At 45.5% G+C, this 15,592-nt stretch overlaps 1 protein-coding gene across 25 annotated transcripts in view, besides 1 other annotated feature; it reads left to right on the forward strand.

The window, feature by feature from the left end:
• The window catches only part of GATA3 (GATA binding protein 3), a 29,866-nt gene extending 24,062 nt beyond the window's left edge, over positions 1–5,804 (forward strand). For 20 of the 25 annotated variants that reach the window (NM_001441116.1, NM_001441118.1, NM_001441117.1 and 17 more), the window contains 2 exons: positions 79–204; positions 4,345–5,804. In NM_001441116.1, the coding sequence (NP_001428045.1) occupies positions 79–204; positions 4,345–4,629 (411 nt within the window). In that variant the 3' untranslated portion in view covers positions 4,630–5,804. The remainder of the gene's footprint in view (positions 1–78; positions 205–4,344) is intronic. The other 5 variants (NM_001441129.1, NM_001441132.1, NM_001441130.1 and 2 more) reach the window with 1 other exon arrangement.
• Positions 4,094–5,072: an enhancer, noted in NCBI's record as "H3K4me1 hESC enhancer chr10:8115451-8116429 (GRCh37/hg19 assembly coordinates)". NCBI's record gives its function as "activates a minimal SCP1, AML or CMV promoter by ChIP-STARR-seq in naive H9 embryonic stem cells {active_cell/tissue: H9 hESC(naive)}" and the evidence as "EXISTENCE:reporter gene assay evidence [ECO:0000049][PMID:30033119]".

The following is a 15,592-nucleotide window of genomic DNA, read 5'->3' on the forward strand; positions in this document are numbered from 1 at the left end:
TCAAGCCTGTCTTCATAGTGATGACAACACATTTAACATTTGTTTTGATTTCACCCTCTCCTCTCTCCCCACTCTCAGTCTGCAGCCAGGAGAGCAGGGACGTCCTGTGCGAACTGTCAGACCACCACAACCACACTCTGGAGGAGGAATGCCAATGGGGACCCTGTCTGCAATGCCTGTGGGCTCTACTACAAGCTTCACAATGTAAGTGGACTGGGATCAGCAAGAACAGGGCTCGCTTCCTGATGGTGACCAGCAAACAGCGTCACCACCACCCTCTCCAAGTGAATCGCTCACCATGGGGGCAGATGACAGGTTCCAAATAATTGATGCAATAGGACCTAGCTTGGAAAACTACTTTGTCTAGCATAGCCGTGCTGAGGCCGAGGGGGCTCACAGCCTGGCAGCCACACAACCCCCTTGGTATGCATTGGACACTCCACATACCATGCAGCAATCCGATGTGCTGAGTGGGCCTGTGTGGTTTATAAGGAAAAAAAAAAAATCTTCCTTTTGGAAAACAAAAAAAGCCACCGGTCCTATTTTGTTGTTTCCTTACATTTTAAACTCTTTGCAGAAAGAGAGAATGAAAGAGAAAGGTAAATAGAATTGTAATGTGTGGCAGGGGGTCTGGAAACTAAGAGGACCCATTTGGTTACTGAGAGGTAAAAAGTCTTGGCTAAATCTGTGCTACAAATTTGAAATGGATCCTCTGTATAAAAGACATGGAAAAAAATGTCTGACAGATTTCGTCTGATGTCTTTGTCCGAACCAACTTTCACGTGTAGAGAGCTAGCTCCTGAGGAAGGTGGCTGGCCTGGGGGATGTTACCATACCAGGGAAAATAAACTGTCATTTTCTCCTTTTATATCATGTTAGCAGAGCGGTAATTGCCAGTCACCTGAATTTAGTTGTGTCATTTCTGATCTTTCCATTTGGGGTCCTCTCATTTTGTAACATATCTTAATCTTAAAAAATTTTTTTTTCAGTTTTTTTTTTTTCCTGAAATCATTCTGGCTCAGAGGCCATGATTCTAGTGAGGCTTCAAGTTTACATTAACTCTAAAGACAAAAATGGTTATTTTGGTCTTTCTCTGTGTTGCTCTCTCTCTCCTTCCTTTTTAGCTCTTTCTGATTCTCCTAAATTCTCTTGGCCAACCTGACTTTGGCAAAGTCCGGGGCTGAACAGGGAGGAGACAGGGACTTTTGCTTGCGGCGGTTCTGGCAATGAACTCATCTTACTCAGGAATACCTGGGAATTGGGGAGGAAGCTTTTCTGGTTGGATTTTTTGAGTCATAAAGAACTTCTCAGGGTGACCCCAGCACCCTGCTTCTTTTTCACTTCTTGGGAGCAAGTTGCTGTGATTCCGAGGAGCCCTGTACGCTCATTCCCTGCCTGTGCCAACTCTCTCGCTGTGGCCCTGGTGCAGTGAATGAAACTAGAGTCTTACTACGATCCCTTATTCTCCCTTAGGTCCTGGGACTGTGGTCTATATACATTTATCAGCAATTCAATCCAAGTTCTATTTTCACTTTGGGGAATTTGCTTGCTGACTACAGTAGAGATAGAGATTCGTGATTAAAATCTGGAAGGCTTGGGCTTATAAGCTATTAGGTTATTAGCATTAGGGTTTATTAGCTATCCAGTCATCAGCACTGCCTATGAAATTATTTTTGGGCTGTAATTTATGGATTTCAAAGAACTTTCATGTTACTTGATTACATTTGAGCCTGAGATAGTCCCATGATGTAGACAGGGCAGAAATTATTTTTATTTCAGTTTTACTTGAGGGAGTTATGACTCAGAAAAGCAAGTCGCTTGCACAAGGTAACGTGGCTGAGAAAGTATAAGAGTCAGGGCCCATTTCAGAGTCAGGAGGCTTTCCTGGGAAGTTGGCAGTGTCAGAACTAAGAGGAGAACCAGGGGAAAGGGAATGCTCTCTTTTTTTAGAGTATAACAAAATTGTAACAAATTGTGTGTGTGTATATTTCATCCCTATATTCGTGGAAGTATAGGAATTATAGGAGATTAACTAGCTATATGTTTTTTTGAATAGTTAGCTGGGATGAGATATGATCTCACTTGTGTCTGATCACATATATATATATTTCTGAAGAACATGAATTTCTCAAATCAAAGTAAAGCTGAGGAATCCTCTCCATGGCTCACTTCTACCTCCTCAATCTTAATGAGCTTGGTCTTCATGGCTGGGCTCCAGTGAATGGGAGACAGAAACTTCCTCATCCTCAAGAGTGGTTTTTCTGTCTTCTCTGGTTTACCAGGAATTTGTAAAAGGAGGCGATTGATGTGTATTGAACAATAAGAGATAATAATCTATTAACATTGTCATCACGTTGCGTTTTGCTCTGCCCTTCCAGACATCTCTACATGGATGCCATAAGCTCTTTCTTCTTATCTAGGTGTTGAGATAACTGCCTACCTCGGTATCAGCATCTCTCAGTGGTGTTGTGACTGGTTATCTGGGGTTGTGTGGCTACTGGTGTAACTAGATATTATATTTAGATACCTGGCTATGTATAGCTAGATATCGGCATCAGAGCTGTGTATCTGGACATTATCTTGGTGAAGATTTGATGTGGGAGTAGATTCCTGTCATCTCTGTAGGCTGCATCTTTATCTTGATGATAACTTTGAAGAAGGAACCTGGAGATGTTCCTCTGGCAGTGACCTTTCTGGGCTCTCCTGCCATCGGTCACGTTGCCTTCCTGGGCTTGGGGAAAATAAGGTCTCAGCTCCAGTGTGGGGCTTTGTTTCCTTCTCCAGGTGACCTCTCCCAGCTCAGCTTCGGGAAGCTGGGTGTTGGCTGCTCTCAGCAGGTTGGCCATTTGAATTCTTCCTTTCTTAGCTGTGATTTTCTGGCTTTGGGAACAGACAGGTAAAACCCAGAGCCAAGGGTTCTCCACCCTTGAGAACTGTGGCGGAAGGCGATGCTTTCAGCCCGGGAAGTCAGGAATGGCCAGGACACTGACATTCACTCCTTGAGTCTGTTTGCCACCCTCCCCTGGGAACATGGCCAGATGTGGAGTTTGCTCTTCCGGGCAGATGTCTGCTGTTGGGGTTAATCTGCTTCTGCCTCCCTGTGGGGAGTAACTTCTGTTTACTTTGTAAAGTTTCCTTTCTTGATTCTGGGCCCCCAAAGCAAATGTATTTTTAAAGGCAAATGAGGTTTATTAAGAAGAGAGAAATGGCAGATGTCTCCGAGACTGAAGTCTCTTGATCTTGAGAGTAGGGTCTGGTCTCTGTCTCTTTACTCTAGCACATTCTTGGTCTTTCCTTTTCAAGATGAGTGCCCTTTTGTGCTTTGCACCCCATAGGTGGTTATTAAATACATGTTGATTGGTTGGTTGGCTGTTTGTCTGGTTAGAAGTGGAGAGTCAGAGCTAGGTGGAAATAGCACTTGCAACCATTGCAGCTGCTGTTGGAATGACACAGGCAAGAGATCACTTTTGGGCCAGGCGCGGTGGCTCATGCCTGCAATTCCAGCACTTTGGGAGGCCGAGGTGGGCAGATCACAATGTCGGGAGTTCGAGACCAGCCTGCCCAATATGGTGAAACCCCGTCTCTACTAAAAATACAAAAATTAGCCAGGTGTGGTGGCAGGCGCCTCTAGTCCCAGCTACTCAGGAGGCTGAGGCAGGAGAATTGCTTGAACCCGGGAGGCAGAGGTTGCAGTGAGCCGAGATCGCGCCACTGCACTCCAGCCTGGGCGACAGCGGGAGACTTCGTCTCAAAAAAAAAAAAAAAAAAAAAAAAAAGATCACCTTTAAGAAAGGCATGGTTTCATAAAATACAACCCGGCTACATATAAATTCTAGCGGAAGATTTTATGGCACCTCTTAAAGGCCAGGTAGAAGAGAGGCAACCGAAAGTTACTCAGTAGAACAGTACAGTCCTCATTTCTTCAAGGCAGACAGCCTTAACCACCTAGAGGCTGATGGCCTGGGGAGTACTTTTCAAGTTCTGAAGCAGATTTGTCAAAGTAGCCAAAATGGCATTTCCCTCCTGAAGATTCTTCACTACCTCGATTCTTATGAAATAGTCTAAGGAAGTTCTAAAGAAATAAGACAAGTGAATTCTATTTTCGTTACCAGAGAAATACAATCGTACTAGACGGGGCTGTAATCTGGTAACTGTATGTATTTTAGTTCTTCAGTCCCTGGGAAGGAGACAGGAGAAGGTGGGAGGGAGGAAGGGGCCAGCTGAAATGGAAACAGATCCCTGATCCGGGGCGGTCAGTGGAACCCTTCTTGGTGTGCGAGAGCCTGTGCATTTCAGAGGCAGCAAAAAAGTAAAAAAAAAAAAAAAAAATTGATCTTTGTTTAGATTAACAGACCCCTGACTATGAAGAAGGAAGGCATCCAGACCAGAAACCGAAAAATGTCTAGCAAATCCAAAAAGTGCAAAAAAGTGCATGACTCACTGGAGGACTTCCCCAAGAACAGCTCGTTTAACCCGGCCGCCCTCTCCAGACACATGTCCTCCCTGAGCCACATCTCGCCCTTCAGCCACTCCAGCCACATGCTGACCACGCCCACGCCGATGCACCCGCCATCCAGCCTGTCCTTTGGACCACACCACCCCTCCAGCATGGTCACCGCCATGGGTTAGAGCCCTGCTCGATGCTCACAGGGCCCCCAGCGAGAGTCCCTGCAGTCCCTTTCGACTTGCATTTTTGCAGGAGCAGTATCATGAAGCCTAAACGCGATGGATATATGTTTTTGAAGGCAGAAAGCAAAATTATGTTTGCCACTTTGCAAAGGAGCTCACTGTGGTGTCTGTGTTCCAACCACTGAATCTGGACCCCATCTGTGAATAAGCCATTCTGACTCATATCCCCTATTTAACAGGGTCTCTAGTGCTGTGAAAAAAAAAATGCTGAACATTGCATATAACTTATATTGTAAGAAATACTGTACAATGACTTTATTGCATCTGGGTAGCTGTAAGGCATGAAGGATGCCAAGAAGTTTAAGGAATATGGGAGAAATAGTGTGGAAATTAAGAAGAAACTAGGTCTGATATTCAAATGGACAAACTGCCAGTTTTGTTTCCTTTCACTGGCCACAGTTGTTTGATGCATTAAAAGAAAATAAAAAAAAGAAAAAAGAGAAAAGAAAAAAAAAGAAAAAAGTTGTAGGCGAATCATTTGTTCAAAGCTGTTGGCCTCTGCAAAGGAAATACCAGTTCTGGGCAATCAGTGTTACCGTTCACCAGTTGCCGTTGAGGGTTTCAGAGAGCCTTTTTCTAGGCCTACATGCTTTGTGAACAAGTCCCTGTAATTGTTGTTTGTATGTATAATTCAAAGCACCAAAATAAGAAAAGATGTAGATTTATTTCATCATATTATACAGACCGAACTGTTGTATAAATTTATTTACTGCTAGTCTTAAGAACTGCTTTCTTTCGTTTGTTTGTTTCAATATTTTCCTTCTCTCTCAATTTTTGGTTGAATAAACTAGATTACATTCAGTTGGCCTAAGGTGGTTGTGCTCGGAGGGTTTCTTGTTTCTTTTCCATTTTGTTTTTGGATGATATTTATTAAATAGCTTCTAAGAGTCCGGCGGCATCTGTCTTGTCCCTATTCCTGCAGCCTGTGCTGAGGGTAGCAGTGTATGAGCTACCAGCGTGCATGTCAGCGACCCTGGCCCGACAGGCCACGTCCTGCAATCGGCCCGGCTGCCTCTTCGCCCTGTCGTGTTCTGTGTTAGTGATCACTGCCTTTAATACAGTCTGTTGGAATAATATTATAAGCATAATAATAAAGTGAAAATATTTTAAAACTACAAAATGACATCGTATCCACGTGGTGGCCGAGCTCTTCTAGAATCTGGTAGCTCTAGCTAATTTCAGAGAAAGGAGTTAAAAGAAACAACTTAACAACCAGACATGTTAAGTTATTCACTAGGAACCGATGCTAACCCCAGAGAGTCAACGTCTATTTTGGGGGGAGCTGGGAATATTTGGAGTTCTACATGCGACCTGGAGGAATTTATCCTGGGGCCGGGGTGACATCTGGGGTCCCCTAGTGAGTGGCAGTGTGTCTTCCTGCTCTCCTCCTGCCCTCGAAGGAGGACTGGGAAGATTTCCACGCTGAGATTCCCAGGCGCAAACTGCAGCTGATGCGTTCCTCGAGGTTCTCTTTGAGATGGAAACGAGCCGGCTGCTCGTGTTCATTTCTGTTTTGCTTTTCTACTGTTGAATGAATACCACCACAGTGAAGGGATTATTGGAATGTTTTCGAAACACAAAATAACCATTTTGTAACTTCTGCTGTATAGTTTTCTTTTCCTGTGGATGGAGTGTGTAACTACAGCACACATTTAAATGAAATCTCTGTTAATCGCCTCTGCACTATCTTAGCAAATATTTTAAACCTAAAGCTAAATGTTGAAATAAAGGTGTAGAGCATTACTGAGATGCAAATGGAGCTCTCTCTGGCTCCTAATTAATGACCTACAACTCGACTGTTGTTTCCAATTACTTTTGAAACACTGAAGGAAAGAATCACTGCTGGCTGTGGTAAACTTGGGAGGTTTTGTCATATAGTTCCAATGTCTTAAAGTTTGCCACCGCTTTGCTTCATGAACAGATTTGAGTTAATGCCCTTTCACCTTAAGAACAGGGAGTTCAAATTCTTGACATTCTTAGGGCTGGACAAGGGGCGGGGGACACGTGGAAAAATCCCAAACTCAGTATCTCAGCTACGTTTTGTTTAAGGTACACTTCATCCCATTCCTTCTTCAAAGAAATGTCATTTCATTGTTGTGGGCATTGATTGAACCTTCTAAGATGTTTCTAGCAGATGATGCAACAGCTGTAAAATATAAATATATATATAATAACAGTGATTCAGATCCTTTTTCTTTTTTTCTTTTTTGAGACAGAGTCTGGTTCTGTCGCCCAGGCTGGAGTGCAGTGGCGCAATCTCGGCTCCCTGCAACCTCTGCCTCCTGGGTTCAAGCGATTCTCCTGCCTCAGCCTCCCAAGTAGCTGGGACTACAGGCGCCCACCACCACGCCCAGCTAATTTTTGTATTTTTAGTAAACATAGGGTTTCACCATGTTGGCCAGGCTGGTGTCGACTTCCTGACCTCAAATGATCCACCCACCTCAGCCTCCCAAAGTGCTGGGATTAGGGGCGTGAGCCACCGCGCCCGGCCGATTCAGTTTCTTCTTTGGAATATTATCATATATTTTAATGGCCAGAATGGTTTGGTTCTTTTTTCTTTTTTCAAAAATATAAGACACAGTAGAGGAGCAATACTAAAGCGGGTTTAATCTAGAAAAGTAGAACAAGATCGCAGACCTAAAATATGGCTAAAAAATTTTTGAGTCGATTGTATTCCTAATTTCCAATCTGTTTCACCTCACTTTTGAAGTTGTTGTATTAGCACATCTATAGGAGAATATGGGGTTTTTTTTTTTTTTTTTTTGGAAAATATCTGAGGATTTGGGTTATTTCTTTAAAACATTTAAAAAGCCAACATAATAGAAAAAATTACATATGAATTGAACAGTTCTGCTATTTATAAACTCCTCTGTAGTGCTTTTGGATTTAAGCACTTTTTTCATTTATTCAACAAATACCCAAGTGTCTAAGTTGACCTTTTTTTAAAAAAATTTTTTAAAAGACAGATCAGGAAATAGAGAAATCAAGATTCCAGTGATGTCATTCTTACGTTGTGACATTTATATTGTTGTTCCCCTTTAAAACGAACTGCTTGAACTGTGGTGAGCTTCTCATTGGGCCTCTGGGTTAGTCCCTAAGCAGACAGGTTGTGATGGAACTAGGGTTACCCAGAGCTTGCTTTCTGAGATCAGCGTCTGCTTTCTAAACCTTTCTTTTCTTTTCTTTTCTTTTTTTTTTTTTTGAGACGGAGTCTTGCTCTGTTGCCCAGGCTGGAGCGCAATGGTGCAATCTCGGCTCACTGCAACCTCCGCCTCCCAGGTTCAAGTGATTCTCCTGCCTCAGCCTCCTGAGTAGCTGGGATAACAGGCATGCGCCACCACACCCAGTTAATTTTTTGTATTTTTAGTAGAGATAGGGTTTCTCCATGTTGACCAGGCTGGTCTTGAACTCCTGACGTCTGGTGATCCACCCATCTCGGCCTCACAAAGTGCTGGGTTTACAGGCATGAGCCACCGCACCTGACCCTTGCTTTCTAAAGCTTTCTAAGGTCTTAAAGTTGTTTTTAAAGTGTACTCCTCATCACAAGACTTCATTTTGGTATTTCGTAAGTTTAAAAGTGTGTGAAGGGTGCAGATTCTTTCCAGATACTGCATACGTGACTCGAGTTTAGTGAAACAACTGTTCCCCAAATTCAAGCCCACAAACTCCAATGCAATCCATTGCCTGCCTTGGATATTTTCCTCCTCATGGTAAATTGTCCTATTTACATTTTGGAGATGTAGAGATATTATTACTCCATTTTCTCTTGTTCCATTCCCCTGTCCACATCCTCAACCCCAAATCCACCCCAGAGCCATTTTTGTGATCTGCCTGGACAGAGGACATTGGTGAGCCCTCTGCAACTTCCAAGCTAAGGAGAGATTAAAAGACCAAAAGAAAACGTCTGAACAATGGCATATAATCTTATCCATAGAACAAAAATTCTAGCCATTATCTAAATCAGCAGAGCAACACACCAACACCTTTTGCCCTTCAAAATGAAGCAAACTTCTGGAAAACATCTTCATTTTTCTTTGTACCCTCTAGCTCAAGCAGATTTGACATCATCAGGTTTGACTTGTCCATACGCTTTGCAAAGAGCCCAGGAAGGGGAAAACCCTGGAATTCTGAGGCATTCATTGATCATTTGAACATGCTGTGACTATTGTCCTAGGAGTCTGGAAACTAGGGCTTCATTCCTGGCTGTGCTGCCATTTAACAGGATGATGTGAGGCTCTCTGTTTGATTTCTCTGGGAGCACACTTCTTATCTATGTAGTTAGATGAGATACTCTCTAAGACCTACTGGAGATTTTTTTTTTTTTTTTAAGAACAACTCTTCTGAGGAAAAGATTCTTCTCACCCCCAGCCATATTTTTATTTATTTATTTTTTCTGAGATGGAGTCTCATTGTGTTGCCCAGGCTGGAGTACAGTGGCACAATCTCAGCTCACTGCAACCTCCGCCTCCCGGGTTCAAGCAATTCTCGTGCCTCAGCCTCCAGAATAGCTGGGATTACAGGCGCCCACCACCATGCCCAGCTAATTTTTGTATCTTTAGTAGAGATGGAGTTTCACCATATTGGCCAGGCTGGTCTCGAACTCCTGGCCTCAAGTGATCCACTCATCTTGATCTCCCAAAGTGCTTGGGATTACAGGCATGAACCACCACGCCTGGTCCATAATTTTGACCAGGGTATTTGAAAAGCCTGATGGGAGAGTAGCCCATTAAAAATTCCAGATGGAGGCCGGGCGCGGTGGCTCACGCCTGTAATTCTAACATTTTGGGAGGCTGAGACAGGCGGATCACCTGAGGTCAGGGGTTCGAGACAAGCCTTGCCAACATGGTGAAATGCTGTCTCTACTAAAAATACAAAAATTAGCCAGGTATGGTGGTGCATGCCTGTAATTCCAGCTACTCAGGAGGCTGAGGCAGGAGAATCACTTGAAACCAGGAGGTGGAGGTTGCAGTGAGCAAGATCCCGCCACTGCACTTCAGCCTGGGCGACAGAGTGAGACTCAGTCTAAAAATAAATTAAAAAAAAAAAAAAGATTCCAGATGGGTTGGGGGAATTTCACTTCTATCTGCCCTTAGTGCCATCTTGTGAACTGCAAATTAACTTGTATTTTATGACTGTCAACCCGGGATAGGAGTCAGCGCCTCAGTCTTAGAAGTCTGCTCTTTCTGAAATGTGTCCAGGCCCCTCTCGAGCTGAATACACAGGACTTGCTTTTCCTGCTGATTTTGGCAGCCTGGTTCATATTTCTCTCATCCATTGTGTAAAGAAATTCTGCCTGAATTGCTTACAGGCTATTCTAGGGCTATAGCCAGAGTCCAGTCTTTTTTTTTTTTTTTTTTTTCCTTGTCCTGCCTGTCTCTCTTTCTCTTTGGAGAAGGGGATCAACAGAGGAAGTGGATCAGTGCTCAGAAAAGTGGTTCCTTTTAGGATGCTCTGTTCGGATCCTGGTGTCCCCGAGTCACTTCCTGACACGCCCTTGAGCTCCGGTGCAGGGGACCCTGGTCCATTAGCTACATTGTCTGTGGTGCATTTTTACAATCCCCTGTCATGTCTGTGTGCAGTTCGGCAGGCTGCACATTGGAGCAGGGATTTAGAGAGTGGGCCCTCTCCCCTCGCCCTTCCCTACCCCCACTGGTCTCAAGCTAAACAAAAGCCATGCCGTATAAAGCACTCATCTCATCCCTGCCTTTGGTGGCAGGGCTGGGTCCCCAGCAAGAGCCTGAAAGATGTGTAAACACCTGGAGGAGGCTTTGTGCTTGGGCCGGGGATTGTGTAACTCAGGGATGTTGTGTGGGGAATTGAGGTTCCCAGGACCAGGTCCTCATTCAGAGAACAGGTCTGAAGAGGACCCTGCTGCAGAGATGCGGGCTGCACAATGCCCAGACTACCACGTGCTCTGCAGGGAAACCAGCCAATCGGGTTTTGTTTTTTTGTTTTGAGGGGATTGGGTGTGGGCTGCCTGTGGGCATATGACATTTCTGAAAAATTAAAGTTTTGTTTTCTTCCCTTTTTTAACTAAATTATAAAATTAGTTAATAATTCATTGACCAAACTTGTAAAGTACCAAACTGTTTTTTAAAAGAAGCAGAATGGTCGGTTCTGGTGGCTCTCACCTGTAATCCCAGCACTTTGGGAGGCCAAGGCGGGAGGATCACCTCAGGTCAGGAGTTCAAGACCAGCCTGGCTAACATAGTGAAACCCTGTCACTAGTAAAAATATGAAAATTAGCTGGGTGTGGTGGTGCACGCCTACAATCCTAGCTACTCAGGAGGCTAAGGCACAAGAATCGCTTGAACTTAGGAGGCGGAGGTTGGAGTGAGCTGAAATCGCGCCACTGCACTCCAGCCTGGGCGACAGAGCGAGAGTCTGTCTCTACATACATACATAAATAAATAAATAAATAAATAAATAAATAAATAAAATAAGAAGAAGCCGCAGAGTTTTCCTCCTTGCTGTTGAATTGGCCACGTGCAGTGCAGTCTTAGGAAGGGTTTATCCTGAATGCTGTCTTGAAACTGATGGCCTCTAGGGGCGGGGTTGGGGGAAGCTTGCGTATAGCATTTGTTTTTTTGAGGGTCATTAAAAGTTCATCTCATGAACTGGAAGGGGTCGTTAAGTAAAAGCCACCTCGTAAACTGTGGCCACCCTCTCTCTTCTTACTGTTGGGGAGTCTCTGTTCCTCTTTATTGGGTCTACTAGGCTACGACCATGCCAAGGATAGCACAGGGACTGCTTGAGTAGTGGCAACAAGTGGCCCACACCGCCCCACAACCATCCGCAGCTTCCAAGACAGCCTCCACCCACAGTCACAGCCAACTCTGAGCAGACGCTGCCTGGCTTTCCCGCCATCGCCAACCCGATGATCCTGAGCCAGGAGCTCTGTGACTTTCCTCCACTCCAGGTAGACCATTCCCAGGCCGGGCACATGAGCTGGCCCGTCTTTGATAAATTTGAGACCCAGGTGTGTGAAAGCATCCTGTTCTTCACTTTGAACATCTTCGGGCTCCCTTGTGCCAGAGTGACTTGAAGTGCCTTGACGCAAGATGGGCCTCCGGTGGCAAATTCTCAATTTCCTGGATTGGACTCACTCTTCTGAAAACCAGACCTCTGGACTTCTGACAACTGCGTAGACCCATGGGGCCATCCCAGAAAGACAAGGGAATGGATTTGTTCAGTGCAACCATTGGGACTCACTCAGCCTGGACGATGAGAGGAATCAACCTGAGAAAATGGGCTGGGAGGCTGGCATCACACAGTGCACAGAGGCTAACAAACCAAGCTTGTAACGCATCAAACCCCCGGCAAATGACAGCAGGTGTTTCCATTGAGCACCCGCTCAGTGCTGAACTCTTTGGAGAGATTTTCTCACTTGACTCAGAAAAGCTCTGGAATGTGGGAAGATTACTCCCCTCATTTTATGCATAGGAAAATCATGGGATAGAAAGGATAAGTAATTTGCCCCCAAACAGGAGCTCAACATAAGGAAGGGTGCCAGGTCCCTTTTGCTCCTCCCAGAATCCTGCTAGGAGCACAGTGGCCAGCAGGCAAGACCCACTCAATAGGATTGGTTGAATACATGAATGCCAGTGTTATGCTGCTTTGAACACAAATAGGTCCCTTTCTTGGAGGCGAAACTGAAATCACCCATCAGAAACAGTGGCTTCCAGTCTCTCCCGATTCTTGTTAGATAGCAGGTCCTGGGAAGCTGCGAGGCAGACAGGATGTGTCTGAAGACCCTCAGAGGCCTGGAGACAGACCCACAGAATGCTGAGATCTTCAGCTTCTAGGCACACTCTACTGGAATGTCCAGTCCCAGGTCTCGATGCAGTCAGCATCGGTTTTAGTTGCCTGTAGCTGCTGTAACAAATGGTTATTTGTTATTTCCAAATAACAAATATTATTTGTAAATAACATTTAACATGTTAACATGTAAATAACACTTGTCATTCACAAATGGTTATTTGAACTTAGTTGCCTCTGACAGCACCCACATATTCTCTTGCAGCTCTGGAGGTCAGAAGCCCGCAATCACTGTCACTGGGCTAAAGTCGTGGGGTTGGCAGGGCTGGTTCCCGTAGGAGGCTCCAGGGGGGAGAATCTGCTTCCTCGCCTTCTCTCGCCTGGAGTCGGCCTGCATTCCTCAGTGCATGGCCTTTCCTGCCGTCGCGCCAACCTCTTGCTTCTGTTATCACATCTCCTGCTCATCTTTTGTCAAAAAAGAGGAGCTGGCTGTCCTTCGCTCTGGAGAAAGATACAGCTTAGAGGTTACAGCAGGGGAAGGGCTCTTGCGGTCAGATGAGATAGGTGAAGTTGGGGAGTTTTTCTACTCTGCAGAGTTCACTAGTGAACCCCAACTGGAGATGGGGACCTCAATCTTGGCTGTATTTGCTGAGGGCATTTATCAACTGAACTTGGCCTCACTGACTGTGGGTGTACCCGATACCAAAGTATTGGTTAAAGACATAAGAAACTGAAGAAATTCCTTTACCTAAGCCCAGGGCAGTTTTATACATGTCTTCTAATCTCAGAGTCAGGATGACTCTGGTCCCTTGGACCCCAAGGTGAGGTGAGAGTGTGATCTTTGTCATTGTGTGATGAATGTCCTGAGGTGCATTAGGGAGAGGGCTTCATGCAAGATCTCTCAGCAGGGCAGGGAGGAAAGCCCTCTTTCTATATTGCTTCTTGCTACATGGGGACTTTCTGTAATGGTGGAGTGTAGGAAAATGACAGGGACTTCTGCTATTCTGCCCCTTTTAATTGTAAAATTATAAATGAAGTCGTTTTCATGACAGCATTTCTACCCAATGAAAGGCTCTTTTAAGAATGAAACTTCAGGCTGGGCGCGGTGGCTCACGCCTGTAATCCCAACAATTTGGGAGGCCGAGGCGGGCGGATCACGAGGTCAGGAGATCAAGACCTTCCTGGCTAACACGGTGAAACCCCGTCTCTATTAAAAATACAAAAAATTAGCCAGGCACAGTGGCAGGCACCTGAAGTCCCAGCTACTTGGGAGGCTGACGCAGGAGAATGGCGTGAACCCGGGAGGCGGAGCTTCCAGTGAGCTGAGATCGCGCCACTGCACTCCAGCCTGGGCGACAGAGCGAGACTCCGTCTCAAAAAAAAAAAAAAAAAAAAAAAAGAATGAAACTTCAGAGACTACGGTGGGTGAGTAGCAGGAAACAGCTTTCCCTCAGCTCCCAATAAATTATACCAAGTAAGTGAGCAACTAATCCAACTACGTGTGAAGTCAACCCTTCCCTTAAGAGGTTTACAATCTCCTTGGGGTGACAAGATGTGCCTGAGAACAATTACGTCATGAATGTGGCTCTGGCTGACTGGTTGAGGAAGTGGGGACACTCACTCCCTTTCTTCTAACAGAAGACAGGAGGGCCGTGCCTCTTAATTGGATCAGGGGGCTTGGAGCTGCCACTTGGGCTCTCGAAATGTGACTGTGGGTGGCATGAAGGGATGGAACTTGGAGCTTGATTCACTTCGCTGCCGCTCTGGCCAGCACCGCTCACCGTCAGTTCCATCCGAGGCTGGCTGTCCAGGCTGTTCATGACGCAGGCCCTGTTGCACGGTTTCCTTATAGAGTCCAGAGTCAGCTCACTCCTCCATTACGTCGCACATCCACAAAGGAGGGGAAGGAGAGGCAGCGGCATCGCTGCCCGCCGCACGGACGGATCACCAGCAGCTCCGATGAAGGCGGAGGTTTTAAACTACAGTTGTGTCTAAGATGAAGTTTGGGGATTAGGTGTCTCTGCTTTCCATTACCCCAGACAGAAGTGTGCTGGCAGAATGTCTGCCCTCGGAGCCAGCTGGCTGGCCAAAGGTGAAAGGAGAGGAGGAGAAAAAGAGGCGTCTATCAATCCACTTTTTCCATCAGCACGGTCCTCTAAGGTAGACTGCTGGCCTCTCTGTCACGCCCCCGGAAACTGAAGCTCTGGGATGTGTCGGAGTTACCCAAGGACACAGAAAGCCTTGTCCCCAAGGGCCTGTCCTAGATTGTGAGACTGTTGGTATATCTGCTCTCAGCGCTAACAATAAAAAATAGAAAAGAAAAGCCCACAGTGTAAGTCTTAAATTTGAGGGAAATGCTGTATTGGCTTAGGACTGAGAAATAGATGTTTGACATCTAGATAGAAATATCCCAAATAAAAGTTGTCACCTTGATTTGTCATTTTAAAAAGTCTCATTTTTTTTGGGGGGGGCTGGGCGTGGTGGCTCACGCCTGTAATCCCAGCACTTTGGGAGGCTGAGGTGAGCGGATCACCTGAGGTCAGGAGTTCGAGACCTGCCCGGCCAACATAGTGAAACCCTGTCTCAACTAAAAATACAAAAATTAGCCGGGTGTCCTGGTGCATGCCTGTAATCCCAGCTACCCAGGAGGCTGAGGCAGGCAAGTCACTGGAACCCAGGAGGCAGAGGCTGCAGTGAGCCGAGATCTTGCCCCTGCACTCCAGCCCAGGTGACAGAGCGAGACTCCGTCTCAAAAAAAAAAAAAAGAAAAGAAAAGAAAAGAAAAGAAAAAGTCCCATTTTTGTCAATGGATGCCCATTAAAAGTCTTTGAATTGTGCTTTGCACGATGGAACTTAATGCCTGTTGAAGGTGTGACCAGTAAGAGTTCCAGCTTGATCCTAGAGTCTGAATGGCAAACATGAATTTTCGCTGAAGACAGACAGCTGTAATTTAGTAAGAAGGGATGCTCAAGTTGGGCTGAAGTTTGCAAATCAATACAATGTGTTGGCTTGCTGGGAACTTCCCTCATTTTGTTAAGGATTACATTTCTACATGGTTTGCAGACTAGATGTTAATCAGTGGCTGTTGGCCAGGGAGGCCAAAACCTACCAGCAAATAAATGCGTTTAAGATGTTAGGGAGTGAC

This window comes from Homo sapiens, chromosome 10 (assembly GCF_000001405.40).
Source record: "Homo sapiens chromosome 10, GRCh38.p14 Primary Assembly".
Taxonomy (NCBI): Eukaryota; Metazoa; Chordata; class Mammalia; order Primates; family Hominidae; genus Homo; species Homo sapiens.